The 26,003-nt window shown below is 50.3% G+C and overlaps 1 long non-coding RNA gene across 1 annotated transcript in view; it reads left to right on the top strand.

Moving 5' to 3' along the window:
- Nucleotides 1-1,464: 1,464 nt before the first annotated feature.
- The window catches only part of LINC01667 (long intergenic non-protein coding RNA 1667), a 39,214-nt gene continuing 14,675 nt past the window's right edge, over nt 1,465-26,003 (top strand). Inside the window, exons 1-3 of the long non-coding RNA NR_038377.1 lie at nt 1,465-1,640; nt 14,165-14,352; nt 14,552-14,791. This is a non-coding gene — a long non-coding RNA (long intergenic non-protein coding RNA 1667). The remainder of the gene's footprint in view (nt 1,641-14,164; nt 14,353-14,551; nt 14,792-26,003) is intronic.

The following is a 26,003-nucleotide window of genomic DNA, read 5'->3' as shown; positions in this document are numbered from 1 at the left end:
CGGTTGTCTTAGACACTAGTCCCCGAGGCTTGGCAGAGCAGGAGCCCTCCGTGGCAGTGTTTGGGTATCCAGGCTCTGAGGCTCCGGCCTCACCTTTCCACGGGGTAGAAGGGAACCTCTCCTGATGACAGCAGTCGCAAAGGGCCGACCATGATGATGAAATCCCAGGCGGAGACGGGGGAAGCAGCACGGGATCCCAGCCTCAGGCCTGCACGGACGGTGTTGGTTGGGGTGAGTCTCACCAAAATTCGTGCCGCCGTCCGTGACCTCGAGGACGGGTCGGCCTGCGTGCCCCTCGGCTGCTCTCTCACCCGAGGGTCGTTCTCCTCCAGAGCAGAACCCCGGATCCTCAGGGGTTGCCTGGGGGTGTGTGTTTCAATGTCTCTGCTGTATGACTCTGCGTGTGTGTGCGTGTGTGTGTGTGTGTGTGTCTCCCATTCTCTCTTCTCTCTCTGTCTCTCACTCTCTGTGTGTTTCTTTCCCAATCTCTGTGGGTTTGTACCAGCCGAAGTTGCGTCAGGGCTACCAGGTCGGTGGAGGATTGGGGGTGTTGCGAAATTGGCAGAAACCTCTTTGCTCCTCTGGTAGGCATTTGAAAACGTGGCTTGGGTCAGGCACAGTCGGCACCCCCACCTCCCGGTTCCCAGGTGTGGTTTGATTTTCCTTGGCACTGACGGAAATGTCACCCGTTTCCCCCTTCCACCGGCACATGCCTGGACCCCACCCTTCGTTTCGCCGTCGCCCCGTATGCCTCCGGTGACACACATTAACACCAACTGCTGTGGGATTAGCCAGTGCCACGCGTGGTCTCATGGTCTCCCCCTGGGTTTCGCCTCTGTTCCTCTTTGCAGTTGTCCTGTAAAGCGCGTTCGGCTTTCCGGAACCCCTGGGCTTTTACAAGCGGGGCAGGCCACTGCTCTTTCAAAGGAGGAGGGAGGCAGAGGGCTGATGGATCGGTGAATTTGCTCTGACACTAGGCCTTGAGACCTATGGGGTCATTGTGTGCTGCAGCGAGGCCCTGCCGGCCTGACCAGATGTGGTGAGCCCATCCTATGTCACTCGGAGGGGGCCAGAATGGGATCTCAACGGGAGTCCGGAGCACACAGCAGGCGTCCTGAAGCTCCCCCTCCCTCGCTGGAAATCGGCTGAAGCAGGTCCTGAGGACAGGAGCCCTGGGGGTTTGGGCCTGTGACACGACGAGACACCCGCGGCCCCCGCTCCCACGCCGCCCCAAACAGGACCCAGGACACAGCCGACGCCGGGGCGGCAGCAGGAGCATCGCGGCCGCCGTGCGACGGTGGCGATATTTAAAGGGGATGCAGCCTATCTGTCATTAGTGGAGCGTGAGTCGGCTCACCCAAAGCGCATGCGTGAGGTGCCAGCGGTTTCTCCCGTCACAGTGGTTCCCACTGTTGTCTTAGACACCAGTCCCCGAGGCTTGGCAGAGCAGGAGCCCTCCGTGGCAGTGCTTGGGTATCGAGGCTCTGAGACTCCGGCCTCACCTCTCCACGGGGTCGAAGGGAACCTCTCCTGATGACAGCAGTCGCAAAGGGCCGACCATGATGATGAAACCCCAGGCGGAGACGGGGGAAGCAGCACGGGATCCCAGCCTCAGGCCTGCACGGACGGTGTTGGTTGGGGTTAGTCTCGCCAAAAGCCTTGCCGCTGTCCGTGATCTCGAGGACGTATCGGGCTGCGTGCCCCTCGGCTGCTCTCTCACCCGAGGGTCGTTCTCCTCCAGAGCAGAACCCCGGAGCCTCAGGGGCTGCCTGGGGTGTGTGTTTCAATGCCTCTGCTGTATGACTCTGCGTGTGTGTGTGTGTGTGTGTGTGTGTGTCTGTGTGTGTGTCTCCCATTCTCTCTTCTCTCTCTGTCTCTCAGTCTCTGTGTGTTTCTTTCCCACTCTCTGTGGGTTTGTACCAGCCGAAGTTGCGTCAGGGCTACCAGGTCGGTGGAGGATTGGGGGTGTTGCGAAATTGGCAGAAACCTCTTTGCTCCTCTGGTAGGCATTTGAAAACGTGGCTTGGGTCAGGCACAGGAGGCCCCCCTACCCCACGGTTCCCAGGTGTTGTTTGATTTTCCTTTGGCATTGACGGAAATGTCACCCGTTTCCCCCTTCCACCGGCATATGTCTGGACCCCACCCTTCGTTTCGCCGTCGCCCCATATCCCTCCGGTGACACTCATTAACACCAACTGCTGTGGGACTGGCCAGTGCCACGCGTGGTCACATGGTCTCCCCCTGGGTTTCGCCTCTGTTCCTCTTTGCAGTTGTCCTGTAAAGCGCGTTCGGCTTTCCAGAACCCCTGGGCTTTTACAAGCGGGGCAGGCCACTGCACTTTCAAAGGAGGAGGGAGGCAGAGGGCTGATGGATGAGTGAATTTGCTCTGACACTAGGCCTTGAGACCTATGGGGTCATTGTGTGCTGCAGCGAGGCCCTGCCGGCCTGACCACATGTGGTGAGCCCATCCTATGTCACTCCGATGGGGCCAGAATGGGATCTCAACGGGAGTCCAGAGAACACAGCAGGCGTCCTGAAGCTCCCCCTCCCTTGGTGGAAGTCGACTCAAGCAGGTCCTGAGGACAGGAGCCCTGGGGGTTTGGGCCTGGGACAGGACGAGACACCCGCGGTCCCCTCTCCCATGCCACCCCAAACAGGACCCAGGACACAGCCGCCTTCGTGGCGGCAGCAGGAGCATCGCGGCTGCCGCGCGGCGGTCGCGATATTTAAAGGGGACGCAGCCTATCTGTCAGGAGTGGAGCGTGAGTCGGCTCAGCCAATGCGCATGCGCGAGGCCCCAGCGGTTTCTCGGGTCACAGGGGTTCCCACGGTTGTCTTAGAAACCAGTCCCCGAGGCTTTGCAGAGCAGGAGCCCTCCGTGGCAGTGCTTGGGTATCGAGGCTCTGAGGCTCCGGTCTCACCTCTCCACGGGCTCGAAGGGAAACTCTCCTGATGCCAGCAGTCGCAAAGGGCCGACTATGAAGATGAAACCCCAGGTGGAGACCGGGGAAGCAGCACGGGATCCCAGCCTCAGGCCTGCACGGACGGTGTTTGTTGGGGTGAGTCTCGCCAAAAGTCGCGCCGCTGTCCGTGATCTCGAGGACGGGTCGGCCTGCGTGCCCCTGGGCTGCTCTCTCACCCGAGGGTCGTTCTCCTCCAGAGCAGAACCCCGGAGCCTCAGGGGTTGCCTGGGGGTGTGTGTTTCAATGCCTGTGCTGTATGACTCTGCGTGTGTGTGTGTGTGTCTGTGTGTTTCTCTCCCATTCTCTCTTCTCCCTCTGTCTCTCAGTCTCTGTGTGTTTCTTTCCCACTCTTTGTGGGTTTGTGCCAGCCGAAGTTGCTTCAGGGCTACGAGGTCGGTGGAGGATTGGGGGTGTTGCGAAATTGGCAGAAACATCTTTGTTCCTCTGGTAGGCATTTGAAAACGTGGCTTGGGTCAGGCACAGACGTCCCCCACACCCTCCGGGTCCCAGGTGTTGTTTGATTTTCCTTGGCATTGACGGAAAGGTCACCCGTTTCCCCCTTCCACCGGCACGTGCATGGACCCCACCCTTCGTTTCGCCGTCGCCCCGTTTGCCTCCGGTGTCACACGTTAACACCAACTGCTGTGGGATTGGCCAGTGCCACGCGTGGTCACGTGGTCTCCCCCTGGATTTCGCCTCTCTTCCTCTTTGCAGTTGTCCTGTTAAGCACGGTCGGCTTTCCGGAATCCCTGGGCTTTTACAAGCGGGGTAGGCCACTGCTCTTTCAAAGGAGGAGGGAGGCAGAGGGCTGATGGATGAGTGAAATTGCTCTGACACTAGGCCTTGAGACCTATGGGATCATTTTGTGCTGCAGCGAGGCCCTGCCGGCCTGACCACGTGTGGTGAGCCCATCCTATGTCACTCGGAGGGGGCCAGAATGGGATCTCAACGGGAGTCCAGAGAACACAGCAGGCGTCCTGAAGCTCCCCCTCCCTTGGTGGAAGTCGGCTCAAGCAGGTCCTGAGGACAGGAGCCCTGGGGGTTTGGGCCTGGACAGGACCAGACACCCGTGGCCCCCTCTCCCACGCCGCCTGAAACAGGACCCAAGACACAGGCGCTGCCGGGACGGCAGCAGGAGCATCGCGGCGCGCGCGGCGGTGGCGATATTTAAAGGGACGCAGCCTATCTGTCAGGAGTGGAGCGTGAGTCGGCTCAGCCAATGCGCATGCGCTAGGCGCCAGCGGTTTCTCCCGTCACAGTGGTTCCCACGGTTGTCTTAGACACTAGTCCCCGAGGCTTGGCAGAGCAGGAGCCCTCCGTGGCAGTGTTTGGGTATCCAGGCTCTGAGGCTCCGGCCTCACCTTTCCACGGGGTAGAAGTGAACCTCTCCTGATGACAGCAGTCGCAAAGGGCCGACCATGATGATGAAACCCCAGGCGGAGACGGGGGAAGCAGCACGGGATCCCAGCCTCAGGCCTGCACGGACGGTGTTGGTTGGGGTGAGTCTCACCAAAAGTCGTGCCGCCGTCCGTGCCCTCGAGGACGGGTAGGCCTGCGTGCCCCTCGGCTGCTCTCTCACCCGAGGGTCGTTCTCCTCCAGAGCAGAACCCCGGATCCTCAGGGGTTGCCTGGGGGTGTGTGTTTCAATGTCTCTGCTGTATGACTCTGCGTGTGTGTGCGTGTGTGTCTGTGTGTGTGTCTCCCATTCTCTCTTCTCTCTCTGTCTCTCACTCTCTGTGTGTTTCTTTCCCACTCTCTGTGGGTTTGTACCAGCCGAAGTTGCGTCAGGGCTACCAGGTCGGTGGAGGATTGGGGGTGTTGCGAAATTGGCAGAAACCTCTTTGCTCCTCTGGTAGGCATTTGAAAACGTGGCTTGGGTCAGGCACAGTCGGCACCCCCACCTCCCGGTTCCCAGGTGTGGTTTGATTTTCCTTGGCACTGACGGAAATGTCACCCGTTTCCCCCTTCCACCGGCATATGCCTGGACCCCACCCTTCGTTTCGCCGTCGCCCCGTATGCCTCCGGTGACACACATTAACACCAACTGCTGTGGGATTAGCCGGTGCCACGCGTGGTCACATGGTCTCCCCCTGGGTTTCGCCTCTGTTCCTCTTTGCAGTTGTCCGGTAAAGCGCGTTCGGCTTTCCGGAACCCCTGGGCTTTTACAAGCGGGGCAGGCCACTGCACTTTCAAAGGAGGAGGGAGGCAGAGGGCTGATGGATGAGTGAATTTGCTCTGACAATAGGCCTTGAGACCTATGGGGTCATTGTGTGCTGCAGCGAGGCCCTGCCGGCCTGACCACATGTGGTGAGCCCATCCTATGTCACTCCGAGGGGGCCAGAATGGGATCTCAACGGGAGTCCAGAGAACACAGCAGGCGTCCTGAAGCTCCCCCTCCCTTGGTGGAAGTCGGCTCAAGCAGGTCCTGAGGACAGGAGCCCTGGGGGTTTGGGCCTGGGACAGGACGAGACACCCGCGGTCCCCTCTCCCATGCCACCCCAAACAGGACCCAGGACACAGCCGCCTTCGCGGCGGCAGCAGGAGCATCGCGGCCGCCGCGCGGCGGTCGCGATATTTAAAGGGGACGCAGCCTATCTGTCAGGAGTGGAGCGTGAGTCGGCTCAGCCAATGCGCATGCGCGAGGCCCCAGCGGTTGCTCCAGTCACAGTGGTTCCCACGGTTGTCTTAGAAACCAGTCCCCGAGGCTTTGCAGAGCAGGAGCCCTCCGTGGCAGTGCTTGGGTATCGAGGCTCTGAGGCTCCGGTCTCACCTCTCCACGGGCTCGAAGGGAAACTCTCCTGATGCCAGCAGTCGCAAAGGGCCGACTATGAAGATGAAACCCCAGGTGGAGACCGGGGAAGCAGCACGGGATCCCAGCCTCAGGCCTGCACGGACGGTGTTTGTTGGGGTGAGTCTCGCCAAAAGTCGCGCCGCTGTCCGTGATCTCGAGGACGGGTCGGCCTGCGTTCCCCTCGGCTGCTCTCTCACCCGAGGTTCGTTCTCCTCCAGAGCAGAACCCCGGATCCTCAGGGGTTGCCTGGGGGTGTGTGTTTCAATGCCTGTGCTGTATGACTCTGCGTGTGTGTGCGTGTGTGTCTGTGTGTGTGTCTCCCATTCTCTCTTCTCTCTCTGTCTCTCACTCTCTGTGTGTTTCTTTCCCACTCTCTGTGGGTTTGTACCAGCCGAAGTTGCGTCAGGGCTACCAGGTCGGTGGAGGATTGGGGGTGTTGCGAAATTGGCAGAAACCTCTTTGCTCCTCTGGTAGGCATTTGAAAACGTGGCTTGGGTCAGGCACAGGAGGCCCCCCTACCCCACGGTTCCCAGGTGTTGTTTGTTTTTCCTTGGCGTTGACGGAAATGTCACCCGTTTCCCCCTTCCACCGGCATATCCCTGGACCCCACCCTTCGTTTTGCCGTCGCCCCGTATGCCTCCGGTGACACACATTAACACCAACTGCTGTGGGATTGGCCAGTGCCACGCGTGGTCACATGGTCTCCCCCTGGGTTTCGCCTCTGTTCCTCTTTGCAGTTGTCCTGTACAGCGCGTTCGGCTTTCCGGAAACCCTGGGCTTTTACAAGCGGGGCAGGCCACTGCACTTTCAAAGGAGGAGGGAGGCAGAGGGCTGATGGATGAGTGAATTTGCTCTGACACTAGGCCTTGAGACCTATGGGGTCATTGTGTGCTGCAGCGAGGCCCTGCCGGCCTGACCACATGTGGTGAGCCCATCCTATGTCACTCGGAGGGGGCCAGAATGGGATCTCAACGGGAGTCCAGAGAACACAGCAGGCGTCCTGAAGCTCTCCCTCCCTTGGTGGAAGTCGGCTCAAGCAGGTCCTGAGGACAGGAGCCCTGGGGGTTTGGGCCTGGGACAGGACGAGACACCCGCGGTCCCCTCTCCCATGCCACCCCAAACAGGACCCAGGACACAGCCGCCGCTTCGGCGGCAGCAGGAGCATCGCGGCCGCCGCGCGGCAGTGGCGATATTTAAAGGGGACGCAGCCTATCTGTCAGGAGTGGAGCGTGAGTCGGCTCAGCCAATGCGCATGCGCTAGGCGCCAGCGGTTTCTCCCGTCACAGTGGTTCCCACGGTTGTCTTAGACACTAGTCCCCGAGGCTTGGCAGAGCAGGAGCCCTCCGTGGCAGTGCTTGGGTATCCAGGCTCTGAGGCTCCGGTCTCACCTCTCCACGGACTCGAAGGGAAACTCTCCTGATGCCAGCAGTCGCAAAGGGCCGACTATGAAGATGAAACCCCAGGTGTAGACGGGGGAAGCAGCACGGGATCCCAGCCTCAGGCCTGCACGGACGGTGTTGGTTGGGGTGAGTCTCGCCAAAAGCCTTACCGCCATCCGTGATCTCGAGGACGGGTCGGCCTGCGTTCCCCTCGGCTGCTCTCTCACCCGAGGTTCGTTCTCCTCCAGAGCAGAACCCCGGATCCTCAGGGGTTGCCTGGGGGTGTGTGTTTCAATGCCTCTGCTGTATGACTCTGCGTGTGTGTGCGTGTGTGTCTGTGTGTGTGTCTCCCATTCTCTCTTCTCTCTCTGTCTCTCACTCTCTGTGTGTTTCTTTCCCACTCTCTGTGGGTTTGTACCAGCCGAAGTTGCGTCAGGGCTACCAGGTCGGTGGAGGATTGGGGGTGTTGCGAAATTGGCAGAAACCTCTTTGCTCCTCTGGTAGGCATTTGAAAATGTGGCTTGGGTCAGGCACAGGAGGCCCCCCTACCCCACGGTTCCCAGGTGTTGTTTGTTTTTCCTTGGCGTTGACGGAAATGTCACCCGTTTCCCCCTTCCACCGGCATATCCCTGGACCCCACCCTTCGTTTCGCCGTCGCCCCGTTTGCCTCCGGTGTCACACGTTAACACCAACTGCTGTGGGATTGGCCAGTGCCACGCGTGGTCACGTGGTCTCCCCCTGGATTTCGCCTCTCTTCCTCTTTGCAGTTGTCCTGTTAAGCACGGTCGGCTTTCCGGAACCCCTGGGCTTTTACAAGCGGGGTAGGCCACTGCTCTTTCAAAGGAGGAGGGAGGCAGAGGGCTGATGGATGAGTGAATTTGCTCTGACACTAGGCCTTGAGACCTATGGGATCATTTTGTGCTGCAGCGAGGCCCTGCCGGCCTGACCACGTGTGGTGAGCCCATCCTATGTCACTCGGAGGGGGCCAGAATGGGATCTCAACGGGAGTCCAGAGAACACAGCAGGCGTCCTGAAGCTCCCCCTCCCTTGGTGGAAGTCAGCTCAAGCAGGTCCTGAGGACAGGAGCCCTGGGGGTTTGGGCCTGGGACAGGACCAGACACCCGTCGCCCTCTCTCCCACGCCGCCTGAAACAGGACCCAAGACACAGGCGCTGCCGGGGCGGCAGCAGGAGCATCGCGGCCGCCGCGCGGCGGTGGCGATATTTAAAGGGGACGCAGCCTATCTGTCAGGAGTGGAGCGTGAGTCGGCTCAGCCAATGCGCATGCGCTAGGCGCCAGCGGTTTCTCCCGTCACAGTGATTCCCACGGTTGTCTTAGACACTAGTCCCCGAGGCTTGGCAGAGCAGGAGCCCTCCGTGGCAGTGCTTGGGTATCCAGGCTCTGAGGCTCCGGCCTCACCTTTCCACGGGGTCGAAGGGAACCTCTCCTGATGACAGCAGTCGCAAAGGGCGGACCATGATGATGATACCCCAGGCGGAGACGGGGGAAGCAGCACGGGATCCCAGCCTCAGGCCTGCACGGACGGTGTTGGTTGGGGTGAGTCTCACCAAAAGTCGTGCCGGCGTCCGTGATCTCGAGGACGGGTCGGCCTGCGTGCCCCTCGGCTGCTCTCTCACCCGAGGGTCATTCTCCTCCAGAGCAGAACCCCGGATCCTCAGGGGTTGCCTGGTGTTGTGTGTTTCAATGCCTCTGCTGTATGACTCTGCGTGTGTGTGCGTGTGTGTCTGTGTGTGTGTCTCCCATTCTCTCTTCTCTCTCTGTCTCTCACTCTCTGTGTGTTTCTTTCCCACTCTCTGTGGGTTTGTACCAGCCGAAGTTGCGTCAGGGCTACCAGGTCGGTGGAGGATTGGGGGTGTTGCGAAATTGGCAGAAACCTCTTTGCTCCTCTGGGAGGCATTTGAAAACGTGGCTTGGGTCAGGCACAGGAGGCCCCCCTACCCCACGGTTCCCAGGTGTTGTTTGTTTTTCCTTGACGTTGACGAAAATGTCACCTGTTTCCCCCTTCCACCGGCATATCCCTGGACCCCACCCTTCGTTTTGCCGTCGCCCCGTATGCCTCCGGTGACACACATTAACACCAACTGCTGTGGGATTGGCCAGTGCCACGCGTGGTCACATGGTCTCCCCCTGGGTTTCGCCTCTGTTCCTCTTTGCAGTTGTCCTGTACAGCGCGTTCGGCTTTCCGGAACCCCTGGGCTTTTACAAGCGGGGCAGGCCACTGCTCTTTCAAAGGAGGAGGGAGGCAGAGGGCTGATGGATCGGTGAATTTGCTCTGACACTAGGCCTTGAGACCTATGGGGTCATTGTGTGCTGCAGCGAGGCCCCGCCGGCCTGACCAGATGTGGTGAGCCCATCCTATGTCACTCGGAGGGGGCCAGAATGGGATCTCAACGGGAGTCCGGAGCCACACAGCAGGCGTCCTGAAACTCCCCCTCCCTCGCTGGGAATCGGCTCAAGCAGGTCCTGAGGACAGGAGCCCTGGGGGTTTGGGCCTGTGACACGACGAGACACCCGCGGCCCCCGCTCCCACGCCGCCCCAAACAGGACCCAGGACACAGCCGACGCCGGGGCGGCAGCAGGAGCATCGCGGCCGCCGCCCGGCGGTGGCGATATTTAAAGGGGACGCAGCCTATCTGTCAGGAGTGGAGCGTGAGTCGGCTCAGCCAATGCGCATGCGTGAGCCGTCAGCTGTTTCTCGCGTCACAGTGGTTCCCACGGTTGTCTTAGACACCAGTCCCCGAGGCTTGGCAGAGCAGGAGCCCTCCGTGGCAGTGCTTGGGTATCGAGGCTCTGAGACTCCGGCCTCACCTCTCCACGGGGTCGAAGGGAACCTCTCCTGATGACAGCAGTCGCAAAGGGCCGACCATGATGATGAAACCCCAGTCGGAGACGGGGGAAGCAGCACGGGATCCCAGCCTCAGGCCTGCACGGACGGTGTTGGTTGGGGTGAGTCTCTCCAAAAGCCTTGCCGCTGTCCGTGATCTCGAGGACGGGTCGGCCTGCGTGCCCCTGGGCTGCTCTCTCACCCGAGGGTCGTTCTCCTCCAGAGCAGAACCCCGGAGCCTCAGGGGTTGCCTGGGGGTGTGTGTTTCAATGCCTCTGCTGTATGACTCTGCGTGTGTGTGTGTGTGTCTGTGTGTTTGTCTCCCATTCTCTCTTCTCCCTCTGTCTCTCAGTCTCTGTGTGTTTCTTTCCCACTCTTTGTGGGTTTGTTCCAGCCGAAGTTGCATCAGGGCTACGAGTTCGGTGGAGGATTGGGGGTGTTGCGAAATTGGCAGAAACCTCTTTGTTCCTCTGGTAGGCATTTGAAAACGTGGCTTGGGTCAGGCACAGACGTCCCCTACACCCTCCGGGTCCCAGGTGTTGTTTGATTTTCCTTGGCATTGACGGAAAGGTCACCCGTTTCCCCCTTCCACCGGCACGTGCATGGACCCCACCCTTCGTTTCGCCGTCGCCCCGTTTGCCTCCGGTGTCACACGTTAACACCAACTGCTGTGGGATTGGCCAGTGCCACGCGTGGTCACATGGTCTCCCCCTGGATTTCGCCTCTGTTCCTCTTTGCAGTTGTCCTGTAAAGCATGGTCGGCTTTCCGGAACCCCTCGGCTTTTACAAGCGGGGCAGGCCACTGCTCTTTCAAAGGAGGAGGGAGGCAGAGGGCTGATGGATGAATGAGTTTGCTCTGACACTAGGCCTTGAGAACTATGGGGTCATTGTGTGCTGCAGCGAGGCCCTGCCGGCCTGACCACATGTGGTGAGCCCATCCTATGTCACTCGGAGGGGGCCAGAATGGGATCTCAACGGGAGTCCAGAGAACACAGCAGGCGTCCTGAAGCTCCCCCTCCCTTGGTGGAAGTCGGCTCAAGCAGGTCCTGAGGACAGGAGCCCTGGGGGTTTGGGCCTGGGACAGGACCAGACACCCGTCGCCCCCTCTCCCACGCCGCCTGAAACAGGACCCAGGACACAGGCGCTGCCGGGGCGGCAGCAGGAGCATCGCGGCCGCCGCGCGGCGGTGGCGATATTTAAAGGGGACGCAGCCTATCTGTCAGGAGTGGAGCGTGAGTCGGCTCAGCCAATGCGCATGCGCTAGGCGCGAGCGGTTTCTCCCGTCACAGTGGTTCCCACGGTTGTCTTAGACACCAGTTCCCGAGGCTTGGCAGAGCAGGAGCCCTCCTTGGCACTGCTTGGGCATCCAGGCTCTGAGGCTCCGGCCTCACCTTTCCACGGGGTCGAAGGGAACCTCTCCTGATGACAGCAGTCGCAAAGGGCCGACCATGATGATGAAACCCCAGGCGGAGACGGGGGAAGCAGCACGGGATCCCAGCCTCAGGCCTGCACCGACGGTTTTGGTTGGGGTGAGTCTCACCAAAAGTCGTGCCGCCGTCCGTGATCTCGAGGACGGGTCGGCCTGCGTGCCCCTGGGCTGCTCTCTCACCCGAGGGTCGTTCTCCTCCAGAGCAGAATCCCGCAGCCTCAGGGGTTGCCAGAGGGTGTGTGTTTCAATGCCTCTGTTGTATGACTCTGCGTGTGTGTGTGTGTCTGTTTGTGTGTCTCCCATTCTCTCTTCTCTCTCTATCTCTCAGTCTCTGTGTGTTTCTTTCCCTCTCTCTATGGATTTGTGTGTGTATGCCGGTGTGCATGTGTGTCTTTGGCCGAATGTGCCCTGTGCGGCACAAAGTGGTTTGTCGCATGGTGGCCTGTCTTTGGCGAGCCTCTTTCTGCTTCTCTGCCTGGGTCATGAAGCCGGCTGTCAATCATTTTTGCCGCGGCGGATCCGCTTTGGGTGTGTGAAAGCCTGGCCCACGTGAGGAGACGCGTCGCTCCCGGAGCAAGTGAAATCTCATCCCCATCCTGTGCAGCCTCTTTTCTAGGATCAAGATGAACATACTGCAGCGGAGGACAAGAGCCCCAGAGGAACTCTTTGTCCCACAGGAGAGCAGCGGATCCACGCTAGAGAAGACGCTTGTATCTCTTCACGGCTCTTCTCTGAGAAATGAAGCCACTCCACGATACAGTCAGCAAGAGGAAACCGGGAATGGAAGATGGCAACAATCCCTGTCACTGGAACGCTGGCCTCTCTGGACAAGCCACCCTTTTGGAACCCCACCCCTTACACCCGTGGCCGTGGCACAGTGCTGTATCCTGCCTGTGCTCTGGCCTCTGCTCTCTCCTCCCTCTGGCTCTGCCTCCCCTATTTCTCAGGGGCCTGGATGTGTTTCGCTCTGGCCGAATGCCTTCAACAAAGATGACTTCCCAGTCCGTCAAGGAGACACTTCCTGGAGGTCCGTGTCATGATCGTTTCTGTCTCCAAACCTGTTTCTGCTTAATTGGGCAGGTATCATGACCCAGGAGCTCTTGGCTTCCATACGTGTCTCAGGCAGGGAAGCTTTCTTCTTCCCCACGTTTTCCCTCATGGGTGGGTGGATTGCCTAGAATGAGTGCTACGAGACTGTGACTGGCCTTGTCTTCCAGGACAGGTGGTGTCCCATTTCCTCTGCATTTCCTGTCTCATTCTTGAGGGACATCCTCTCCTCTGCTTCTGGGTGGCCTGACTCCCTTGATCTTCTGGAAGAGCTGATGTGGGCTTGAAGCCCCAGCTGTGACAATAAGAACACAGTGACTCGTGACTACGTCTTGACTGAAATGCAGGCCTTGAATCTAATCATTACGTTGAAAAGAGGTGTTGAGCCTACGAAATGAAGGCATGTCTGGAAAAAGAGACACAGCAATATGTTACAGCCAAACTATAACCTAAATCCCACGAACGCATGTCATCCCACCTGCTATTCGTTTCTGTCAGAGCTGTCACCCAGTGATCTACAAACGAGAAAGGGGAGAAACAGCTTTGAAAAGAAATGCTACCTTTTGGGTAGTGAAGGCAGCTATGTGGCTGATACCTCATGCTCCTTGTGTTATTTCCACCCCTTCGGTGGTACTCCATGAATTTCACCCCACATCTGAGAAACGGCTGGTTCAGCAAGCTAACAGCATACAGATCCTACTCTTTTCTATTTTAACCAAAAAAATTCCTAAGTGGTATTCCTTAAATCTTGAGCAAGTACGATTCCTTAAATCTTGAGCAAATCTTGAGAAAACTGTGTCCTACTAAAATTAAAAGGTATTCTCCTGGGAAGTGGGCCCTATGTCTATTAAACATACTTAGCAAAATCTCTTGCTGTGTCGCTATTTCCAGAAGGTCCTTAGCACTCACCAGGAACAGTGGTTGCCTCTAGGAATGAAATGGGATGACGGAAGACCTGGGGAGCCGTGGCAGGAGGAGACACTCATGATGCGCCTTTTGGCCATAGGTAGTTATTTTCCACATGCATGGAGTGCCTTGTATTGAACCAGAACTAGTAATTATAATACCTTGCATTTATATAATGTTTTGCAGCTGTATTAATGTCTTCATATCAGTTCTCTCATCTGAGTCTCTGTTGTTTGCATGAGGTTGCATTACTAGCTCCATTTTGCCACAGAGGAAATTGAATTCAAAGAATTCAAAGGGCTTTAGAGATTTACTATGAGGAAATATTGGAGGCCAAGCTAAAACGTAAGCTTCCAAACACTCAGCAAATCTTTCTTCCACCACACCACATTACTCTCAAGGAGGAGGGAGAGAAGAAATGAGGAAAAAAATCCAAATTTTTTCCTTCAAAGGTAAGTAGTTAGAATCATCAGTTTTGGAATGTATTATCAGTAAATGAACCAAGGTGATCTTCCTGAGGCCAATTTAAAATCTAATTCAAATTATTTTAATTATTAAACAATAAGATGTCTTCCCTTTATGTTTAATTCAACAAGCATAAAGAACAGGATGAATTTTAATTATCTGAGAATAATTAGGAACATATTTCTTTCCTATCACTCTTAGGGCCAAATCACATTTCTAAAGTGAAACCTAATCTAAGAACTTTCCAATACAATATCATATAATTAGGTAATTTAAAAATATATTTTGAAAATGAAATCTCTAAACATCATTCATTAACAGACTCTGATATTCCCTTCAGTCACTGTCATGGCTAAGAAAGCAACTCCAACCCACACACTGCAAATATGAAGGACCACGAAAGGCACGCAGGCTCTGGTTTGCATAGTGAAGATGAGCGTCTGTGTTCCTAAGCATGAAGGAGGACCACATGAGTATCCTGGACACCTACTGCATGAATGTATTCGCCCTTTCAGATCTAGGGACCTGGTAACCATTTATTATTTGTACTCTGATTTTCTTCCATTTCTTTCTCCAGTCCATAAATGTAACTTAAGTGACTTATTAACACTGATGGTTTGATCACCAATAGCATGTTCCAGTTTCAGTCTTAGTGTAGGTGCCCTTATTACAGACTTGAGATAAAGTCCAGGGCTAACCACTCTTACAAATTTACACTTTGCTAAAGGGTACCTTGGGACAGAGGGAGTGCAGAGCAGAGAAAACCTACCTGTGCAACTGAGAAGGCCGCTCAGGCCACGGGGACAGGGCAGGAATGCTCTCAGGAGTGTCCCCTGAACCTGAACTTGATTTCACGCCATCACCTTCCACCTCTTAACCAGCATCTCCTGGACAGTCAGCCGAGTGTTTCCATGATACCAGCCATACCTGATGCCAGGAGACTCGCTACACTTGGAAGCTCTTCAAGGTGGGACTTTCTGTCTTGTTCAGTTTTTCATTCTCAGTAGTCAACACAGGACCTTATACTTAAAGGAAATAAGTATAATGTCCTAACAAGTGTTTCTGGAATAAATGATCATGGCTGAAATGAGCATTTGAAATGACGATATATCTAGAAAGAACAGAAAATATACACTGGACGTATTTTAGGTGGCTGAGATTATTGAATGGGAAAATAGTGAGATCTTACAATTGAATGGGTATCATAAATGCTTCCTGTATAATATCTGATTTTGCCCTTATCACAAAGAATTCATATAACCAAAACTATATCCCTAAAAATGTCTTCCTAAACATGAAAACAAATTATTTGACTTCATAATGCCGCTTTTTACCCCAAAGTGTCTGACCCTTTCACTAAACATTACTCGGTGTTAAATAGTATAGATATAATTTCTCTGAAATTCACTGAATATGATTTTCAAATGCTGTAATTCCTAAAAATAATATCTAGGCTGCCTTTAATTTCTCATGTCAGTAATAATTAATGTCCCTACGAAGCTTATGGGCAATCAGAAACATTTGTTTATAACATACTGAAGAATTTTTAAACAACCACAGAATATGAATATAATAAGATAAAATATTAAATATTTCCAGGCATGCTTATCTTTGTGAACTGAATCTTGGAGAAGCAGGATTGAAAATAAGAGCTATCTTTGAGGCTCTAGCACCTACAAGAGACACCCTCCCTCTCCACCATGGATCACCTGTCTCACCCGTGTGAGTCTCCACACAGAAACCAGTCATGGCCCTGCCTTTGCCCCCCTTGAAATCACCCAAGAGGATGCTTCAAACTCAGGCAAGCACAACTGATACTCACTCTGCATGCAACAGCAGGGGAGTGACCTTACAAGAAACTAATGGGCCTCACTTCCTGAGAATCACTGTCAGAGCCCATAACATAAGATAAATCACAGCCAAGGATTTTTGAAAAGTTTCCTGATGAGAGAACCATGACCTTTTCAAGGGTAGTGATGGATTGATCAGGGCAAGCAATAGGTAGATTTTTTAAAACAAGCCTGGCACAAAAACAATGATATATATCTACCAAAGTTGGCTAGAATACCTGGCTGATGTCCCAGTCAGGAAACACAGGAAAAGGTTACATCTGTAGAAAAAAAACAGCTTGTTAAGCAAAACAATGCAGTCAAAAACCAAGCTCACTGTAAGAAATGCCATGTGGGCCAGTGGGGACGGCCATGCCGAAAGCGCTCAGTGCTCCTGAAGCTGGGTGGCAGGTGTTTTCACACACAAAGGCCTTCCTTGCTCGGGCCATGGGATAAGCCTTTGAGTGGAGACCTAGCAAGGAGCTTTGAAGTCTGCGTTGGGGGTGGAAGGTGGCAATCCCATTAGACAGCTCTCCCTGGTGTGAATTTATGAAGCCCCATGCAGACTGTGACTTTTAAAATAATCATTTAGTTGGTTCTAGCACATATCGCAGGTTTCATTACAGGCTGCCCCTTAACGAGCATTGTAACCTGGAGGAAAGAATCCAAATTCTTTAGTCACCACCTAACTCCACATTCATTACCTTGTTGCCCAGGGTGGAGTCCAAAAGCAGCAACTATGTTTATTTCTCCATAGAAAATAAATGTTCACCAAGGCACGTCTGTTCTATTACTTTTTTATTCTTAACTAGACCGTTAATATAATTGTTGGTTGCATTGATTTCAACTTCCCCACACGATGCAATCGGCTTTCTGCCGTATTTCAATCACACTAACCAAGAGAGACATCAGACATTCAGAATAGACTCTGGACCAAAACCGAGGGCAGGGGAGAGGTGGGCGGGCCAGGCACAGCTCTGCTGAAGCACTGGTTTGACATGTCGAGTTGAAGTGTTTCTACTCAAAACACCTGTCTCCCTGCCAAGGTGAAGGCTAGATGGTAAAAAAGAAAGTTCCCTTTTTTCTGATAAACTAGGCTGTCTCCATAGGAAGTACCCTGAAGGCCCCCAGCTCCGACTCCGAGAGCAGAGCCCAGACTCTCCTACTTTGAACGGACATGAGCTCTATGCCTCTTGGGGTTTCTCTGCCTGCCCAGTCACCCTGGATAACGTGCTTGCCCTAGATTGTCTCCTAGGCCAAGTCCTCTCCAAGTTCTTGGCCCTTTGTCCTAAGGTTGGATCTCTTCCTCTCGCTTCCCTTGCTCCGAGCTGTGTCTCTGGATACACCCCCTGCAAACTACGCTTCCTGAGCTCGGCTGGCATCTGGCTGTGTTCAGCAAATGGGAAGCCCAGACAGGGGACTGGAGAGCAGGAAGACGGGAGAACAAGGAGATTTCTCCTCCTTCAGCAGCCACAGCAGCAATGGCGTGTCCTCCACAGTTAACTGGAAGAAAAAGCCTGAGTCCTTGTCTCCTCCTGGATTGCCAAAGGGTCTTCTCCTTAGACATGTAAATACACAAATATTCGCATTTTTTAGTAACCCTTGAAAGATTTAACTGCCTGAATTTAACACCAGTAAAAACAAATGTAGCAATATGAAATTGCAACTCACTGAGAGCATTACGATTCAGAAAGTGAAGAAATGCGGGGCCAGCTCCAGCCGCAGCGCAACTGTCCACGAGTCCGGCCGCAGCGCACCTGTCCCCAAGTGTCCACCTCTAAGGCAGTGTTCTTCAACACGCACCACGCGCATCCTCAGCTGGGCATTTCCAGAGGGAGCAAGTCTCTGAGAGGCAGGTCTAGCGCTAAGCTTTCAACAAGTCGCAGGCTATACTTCCGAACACAATGAAATGAGAATGACTTCACATCTCAGCAGAGCCAAAAGCAGTAGACAAATAAGCAATGATGAGATTTGTTTTTTTTTTTCTTCCCTCTTTCCGGACACTCACTCCTGCCTCCCATCGTACCGTCCTGGAAACAGGAAGAAGGTGTGTATCTTGGTACAAGCATCAACTATGCACAGGTCCACTTTAATGGGGGAAAGGACAGGGAGTGAGATAAATAAATATGATGCGATGTCTCCAAAAGAGGAACATTATACTGGGAACATCCATACACGGTTCAAAATTGCATCCATATTTAGTTATTACTTAGAAATCATCAAGGAAATAAATGCTTTCTTTTTTTTTTCTAGGACTTCTTTAAAGAGAGGTTAGGGAAAGCTTTCAGTTATATTTTCTGTCACCTTCCGCAATTTTAAATTGGATGAAATAGTGGGAGACTTTGTTTTTATGGCTTTCTCCTTTCAACTATTGTAACAAACAGCTACCTGTGCTTAGCATGCTTAAAGGCTGGATGGGACCATCTCTATATTATGGCCCAAACAAAATTGGCTTCTGGAACAAGTGTGGCTGTTTTGAACTCGATCCACTTGAGTCGGAGATGAGGTTGACAGAGGGAGGACCAACTGTGTATAAAGCTCCTTTAGGGAATATCCTGCTAATGTGATCTACATTTCAAAGTGGAAATCAAATATTCACTGCCACTGGAGTCTTGATATTTCTAGGATTATCAAAAGTACTTTCCTCTGACACAGGAGATATCATAACTTGACTTGGGGTTGAATTCAAATGCTGCCACAAAATAGCTGTCTGTGCATGACACCTCATCTTTTTTTCATCTTTAAGATGAAGTCCTGAAATTTCAGGACACTTCCAACTTCAAAACGTTCATTCCATGCAACAGAAAGGCAACACGTTGATGACTCCTGTCCCGAATCATATTCTATCTTGTACCTTGCTATCAGTCGGTAAAACTGCAGATGCTGACTTAGACAACAAGCTTTATATCATTGACTACCAAACAATGTCAGGTTGAACTTTGTACGAAGGGGTAGGTTGGTAAACACCTGGCCAGTGTGGTGAAGTGTGGCTGGTGTTGGAGGGAAAGGAAGAGGAGATGACAGTCACATTAGGAAGCTGCTCTGCCCTGAGATGAGCTCAGTGATTCACAAAACGCCATCGCCAAACCTGGCACCTACTGCCAGTCCCCAGTGACTCCCTGGGTAATAAAGAAATTCCGGGGCTCTTAAGAGTCGTCGTCTGTTTGAGGGGTAGCTCTAATGTGCCTAGATCTAAACAGAACCACTTAAAATGCCGACAGAATAGAGAAACCTGTAGTGGAATCCCCTGACTTCCCAGCTTTCTAGGGCCTGCTCTGAAGATTCTGGTCCTGGTCCCCACCTACAGCTAAGAATAGATTTCAGAGGCCGAGGCAGGTGGATCACGAGGTCATGAGATCGAGACCATCCTGGCTAACACCGTGAAACCCCGTCTCTACTAAAAATACAAAAAATTAGCTGGCTTGGTGGTGGGCGCCTGTAGTCCCAGCTACTAGGGAGGCTGAGGCAGGAGAATGGCGTGAACCCAGGAGGCGGAGCTTGCAGTGAGCCCAGATCTCGCCACTGCACTCAAGACTGGGAGAGAGAGCAAGACTCCAACTCAAAAAAAGAATAGATGTCAGGTGGGCACAGGATCCAAACTGTGGACTAAAGTTGCCATTAGAAGCTTGCTCTGAAATTGCTTTACAATCCTGTACTCTTTCTATCCACCAATTTTGACACCAATGGGATATGAAACTTTACGTTTAAACTCAGTATCACCCTTTCATGTGAATTCAGAAATTCCAAGTTGGTGATCATTTTTATATGACGTTAGCAACAATTAAACTAACGTCTCTTTGCCTGGACTTCTTTTCCAGAAAGTGTCCTATGTGGTGGAGGGTGGAGGAGTGAAAGGGGGCTAGGAAGAGAGTGTCTAATTTAGTCTTGAAATATTACAGTGGCTTCAATACTGTTGTGTACAGGGATCTTTACTGTTTTACATATTATTTCATGTGTACATGGGCTCAATTACTTTTGAAACAAATTAGCCAAAAAAGATAACTGATGCTTAAGCCTATCACTTAGCTAAATACATATAAGAATAGCTGTATTTCAATAGGCATGAAGACAAGAATAAGGATGAGATCATGTCCTTGGGTGAAGCAAATTTTGACTTAATTCTCTATTGAATATTTTATCAGGGGAATCAAAAAGTTGAGAAGATTCTGTTCTGCCATGTAAACTAAAAGCCATCCAGTAGATGAGAAATTGAAAACCACAAAGCTTGGGGAAAAAAATGAATGCTTTAGAGCATAAATTTTTCCATTAAATTATGCCAATAAACTTAGGACCTTGAAAGTTACTATGCTCAAATATATTTCAAAAGGAAGAAAATGCTCTTTTCAAAGTAGGGACTAGAAATTGAATGTATAGAGTAGCAAGATTTTTTAATTCCACTAGCATAAATAAACCAATTTATTACTTCCTATTAATTCAATATCAATCTGTTTGAATTGAATGTGCATTTATTAATATAGAAGATACCTTTGCAAATTACTCAATTAAAATAAAAACAAGCCTAGGTATATGACTATCTCTATATTTTCTAAGCTTTCCAGATGCATACTTGTTTTCCCACTGGTTGCATAAGAATACCAAACATTAATTGAGGGTTGTTATATCAAAAAGAGTAAGAACAACTCCTGAGATTCGAAAGCCATGGGAAGTTGCTGAGCTCAAGTATTCATCTCATACTAGTCAAAGTTAGGGATAGTAGAAGAGGAGGGGTTGGATTGAAGTGTAGGAACCCATGTTGCTGCAATGATTGGAAGCTCCTAATTAACAGGAACTATGGAGTGGAATAAAGTGAACTTATCATGGGGACCCTAGTGTTCCCTGTAGTGCTTTCTCCTCCTCTCTACTGGACACTCTTTTTCTTCTTTGTCTTTTTCCATTCAATAAAAGCAAGCCATTTATATGATTCAATAGACTGTGGATTGAGAATCAGAATTTTGGAGTTGTTAGTAATTAACAAAGTAATTATCCAAGCATTTAATTTCACTGGACATGATAGCAGTTGAAATGATGATTTCTTGTTATTCCTTGATTCTACATTTAAAACACATTATTGTCCCATTTTATTTCAAGGAGGAATAAAATAGGAGAGAGAAATATAAAGCAAAGGGAAATGAAGAAAGAAGCTTAAAATGAAATGTGAGACATAATCCCAGGATTATCTTCAGAAAAATTCTTAAATCTTAGTTTGGTTGTGTACAGGTTAATCTATGTAGGCCCTCCTTCTGGGATTTTCTTATCTGTAATAGAAATATTGATTCCACTATGACCTCTGTCTCTCTTGGTTGTTAGAACTCCAGATGCCAATAATGCAGGAAAAGGCACAAAGTGAACATCTTTGTCAAGAGCCATGGATACAGCAACCGCTCACTATATGGTGAAGGGAATACCCTTCTCTGTAGCTAAAAGATGACTCAGTTTCTAAGTTATTATTTCCACCAAAATATCACATTCTTCCAACTTTCCATCATCATCCACTCCTACCCCAGTGCAATTTATGCAAATGTCAGCACCCTACACCACCCCTTTCCTACACCAACACTTTCCTACACAACCCCTTTCCTACACCAACCCCTTCGTACACCAAATCTTTCCTACATCAACCCTTTCCTACAACACCCCTTTCCTACACCAAATCTTTCCTACACCAAGCCTTTCCTACACCAAGCCTTTCCTACACCAAAGTTTTCCTATATCACCCCTTCCCTACACCACACCTTTCCTACACCAACCCTTGCCTACACCAACACTTTCCTGCAACACCCTTTCCTACAACATCCCTTTCCTACACCACCCCTTTCCTACACCACCCCTTCCCTACACCACCCCTTTCCTACACCACCCTTTCCTACACCACCCCTTTCCTATACCACCCTTTCCTACACCACCCCTTTCCTGCACCAACCCTTTCCTACACCAACCCTCTCTTCCTGCCTGCTCATCATTCCCTCTTACACGTGTGTGGTCTCATTCACTCTGTGCTCCACTCCCTATCCCTATCCCTCACATGATCTAACTTACAAACCAGGACTCCTTCTCTTTCACATGCCCCAATCCTTCCACCATCCCCACACAAATCACCTCCCTCAATAAATACACAGAAGTTGGCCAGGAGTGGCAGCTCACCCATGTAATCCCAGCACATTGGGAGGCAGAGGCAGGCAGATCACTTGAGGTCAGGAGCTCAAGACCAGCCTGGCCAACACGGTGAAACCCTGTCTCTACTAAAAATACAAAAAATAGCTGGGCATGGTGGTGTGTGCCTGTAATCCCAGCTACTCGGGAGGCTGACATGAGAATCGTTTGAACCCAGGAGGTGGAGGTTGCAGTGAGCCGAGATCGCGCCAATTCACTTCAGCCTGGACAACAGAGCAAGAATCCATCTCAAAAAAATAAATTAAATAAATAAACAAATACACAGAAGTTATGCAGACAGCTGCACTATCATGAACAGATAACACATTAACTAACATTTTAGTAAGGACACACCGGGAGTGAGTGTTCAGTGGCTGGAGCAAAGGAAGTCATGGAAATAAGTCAGTAGAAATGTTCCAGTTTTGGAAACATGGCATCATGCATGAGATGGGATTTCCAAGACTAGGAATCAGATTTATTTTTCTTAGGCATGCTGGGACTAAGCATCCTTTCATAACACCAGTGTTTGTGGTATTGGGAATCCCAGTGATCTCACATTGCAATCCTTCATTACCATCATGTGCAAAGCAGCTTTGAAGATGTCTCTGCTCTGAATTGCATTGTCTTCACAGAAAAGTGTGGGGAAGATCCCACTTCTGAGGCTGCAGGACACACAGAATGACCTTTCCTCTGCCATTCCCTGTACGGTGCCATTGGTTGCTTTAAACACATTTTTATTAGAACTGAAACTTTAAACATAGCCTTGCCAGTAGCTTCAAAAAGACACCAGCTAATCTACAAGCATATATGGCCCACCATTTTCTCAAATAGCAATGAGAGTAAAATAAATAGGGTAATATGGTTTATCATTGCCTCAAGCAATGTGCAGAATTGTTAATAGTAGTAACTCCTCTCCCAGAAGGAAAAGAAAAATTTAAAATACGTGAAGCAGCCTTAACAACAACAACAATATAAGCTAACAATGTATTTGTTTTTGAACATCTGCTAAATTCTTTCCCACTATTGCAGCCAGAAGCTATGCCACGCACAGCCAGATAATGTGGGCAGAGGGCACAGAGTCCAGGCACTGTTTAAATGCTGAGATAAGGGAATGTGAGTGCTTCTTTGCTTCAAATGTCCTAAATCAGCTTATTTTTAATTAGCAACAATCATCATACACACACACATTGACATTGAAGCTTCCATAATAGTGTTCTTACATTTTCAATCTGGTTAATTGAATGAGAAAACAAATTCTCCTACTAGATATGTGCTCCAAAGTGAAATTTGTGTTTTCTGTGGGATGAGGAATGCTTTCAAATGGAACATTTCTTGATTAAAGAGCCTGGACCATACAATTCATGTTGTGGGGAGGAAATGTGGCTTCAGAACATAATGAGAACTGGTTCGGTCTGCAGCTTTTCCCGTTCTCATTACGACCTTCACTATGAGAACAGATTCATATTATGGCATTTTCAACTCCTATTGTCAGCTTCTGACACAATATGAGGTATTAGGACAGTAACTGGGGTGATGCCCAGTAAGTTCCGGCCACAAATCCTACACCAATATTATGGTATGCTTCTGGAAAGAGAAAGTACTTGGACCTATTGGCAAATCCCACCAGTCACAGAGCAATAAACAGGGAAGACTGGAATACCAGCCAATCAGATCAACAGATAGGATTTTAAAACACCAAGAGCGTATCACTTTGCATCTTGGAAAACAGTGACTATTTAAATTCTGATCTTGTATTCTCTAACAAATGAGAACAATGAATGTTGCACCCCAGGACATGCTCAGGACCAAAGCACAGTTCAAATTCTGGAAGGACATCACCATGATCCTAAAGTGGGAGGAAAAACCTCCTCCCCAGTCGTCAGCAAGGACATCACCATGATCCTAAAGCGGGAAGAAAAGCCTCCTCCCCAGTCCTCAGCACTGGACATAGCCAACAGCACACCGGAGTAGGTAGAAGGCAGCAAAATAGCTACTGAAGAGCCACACATGTTTTGGAAAGCAGGTGTATAGATTGCAACAGTTTTCTTTCCAGAGATACGATTTCTTTTTTATATCAGAGTTTACAAATTTCAGACCCAGTGTTGACTTCACTTGTTATTAGCTTCTGTGTGCCTTTTCCTCATTCATAAAGTGAAGATAACAGTACCTGCCTCGCATACCTAACAGAATCTTGGCAAGCATTAAATGAGATGGTATATATGCAAGCACTTCGATAAGTACAAAGTGTCTTTACAAACATGACACAGTCATTTAAAAATCATCCTTAAGTTAGGCACCCACTGCAAAGTGAGGCCTTATTTGAGGATGTTGTTATAAAATTCATAACTGAGGCCTCCAATTTCAAGGCAAAGTGGTGACAGAAACCTGTGGTGTACAGAATCCCATCGAGGCAAGGGACAGGTATGGGACAGAAGGCTTCATGCACCCCTTCGGGCATGTCCTCTGCAAGCCTCCGGAGCAGGCCCAGAAGTCCTTCTTATGTGCTCTGTGATTTTTCCTTCCAACCGCTTCCCTGACATGGTTGAAAGATATGCACACCAAGGAAGATAATGCAAATGCTACGACGTAGTCACTTTGCAAATGCTGCAATGTTGTCACTCGCCACGCCAGCCAGCACTGGCTCTGGGAAAATGAAAAAGCCTCTGACACATTGAAACTTAGCAGCAACATTCTAACTGGGTTGAGGACAATATTCTTAATCCTCCCTAGAAAGATCAAATTAAATCAGCAGCAGGCTCTGCCTGACACAGCTCTGTGTCACTGACTGTTCCGAGGAGAAACCTAGAGACGTCTGCAGCTCTTGACTTTGTAACTCGTGTCTTTCTATAGATATTCAGTGAGCAGTGATAAGACATCCCTGCATAAGGATTAGCTCAAGACAGGGAAACGCTGTTAGAGGAGAGAGGTGGAGAACAGACACACATTTTGCCTGCCATTTAATTCAGCTAAAAGCCATCAAATTTCATGGCTAAACTTCAAACATGACTCAGTCTGAGCTTTGATTTTCCTTCCCTTTTCAGCAAGGCAACACATCTGTATATTTCAGCCCAAGCAGCTATGTATTTTAGTGAGTGTATAGTAAAAGCAGATTCTATTAATCATTAATAATTCAGAAATTAGGGGTGCATCCATTAAAAGTTCTACTTAATGTCAATTAAAACTCGAGAGCAGTGGTTTGCAAACTTGACTGTGCATAAGAAACATCTGGAAAGCATAAAAAATGCAGATTCTAGGGGCACACCTGCAGAGTCTCATTGAGTAGATCTGGAATGAAATCCCAGAAATTGCGTTTTTTAACAAGCACCCCAGGTGAAATGCATCCCACAGTCTTTCTATCTTAATGTGATTTTTATAATCCAAATTGCATTTAAATCTTTTGAAGAAAATGGAAGTAGGGAGACAATCCAAAATGCATCTTGACAGTTTTGTAGATAGTCTTTCTCTGGCTTTTCGAGATTTTAAATCAAAATTTTATGGCATATCAAGCCATAATATGAATGCTTTTTTTTTGAACCAAACAAATCAAACAAAGAAAAGATGTGTCCCCAGAAAATTATTCAGCTCCCCCAAAGCAAGCATCTTTTTAGGTGGGCTATTTCAAGGAGCTGAGTTTCATATGCTCGTGTTAACAATCTTAGCCACATTATTTAATTTAAGCATAAAGCTTTAATTTTTTGCATTCAGAATGGAAGTATAAAAGTCGTGCAACCAACTCAAGATGCTCACATATCCATGGCATATTCAATCAACAGTGAAATATGACTTCAACTGTTCTGCAATATGAACCCCAATATTTGCCATCATAGTACCTACATTTTTTTTATTTTAAAAGTCCGAGACCCTAACTACTAACTTTACGTAATAGTAACATTAAGCGCAGCAAATCTAACTAGACCAATGGTATATAACACTAGTCTGTATAGTAATTGCTCTTTTCAAATCAACTTCTTCTTGGTCTTGGGAGGAAATATTACGTTGTCTTCAGCAACTTAGAAATCTGTGAGGTATTGTTTTGTTTTGTTTTGTTTTTTGTACTTGAAATTGGGTTTTACTTTCTACAGTTTTTAATTATTTTTTCTTTCTGCTTTTTCACTAGGCTTCATAGATCTCCCTTGCACATGTGCAATTTTGCTGTGAGCCAGAAATTTGCATAGTTCATTCTTTGAATTTGGGTCTCAT

The sequence above is a fragment of the Homo sapiens genome, chromosome 21 (genome assembly GCF_000001405.40).
Source record: "Homo sapiens chromosome 21, GRCh38.p14 Primary Assembly".
Lineage (NCBI taxonomy): Eukaryota > Metazoa > Chordata > Mammalia > Primates > Hominidae > Homo > Homo sapiens.
Note: the sequence above shows the minus strand (reverse complement) of the source record. Positions and strands in the feature narration are given on the sequence as shown.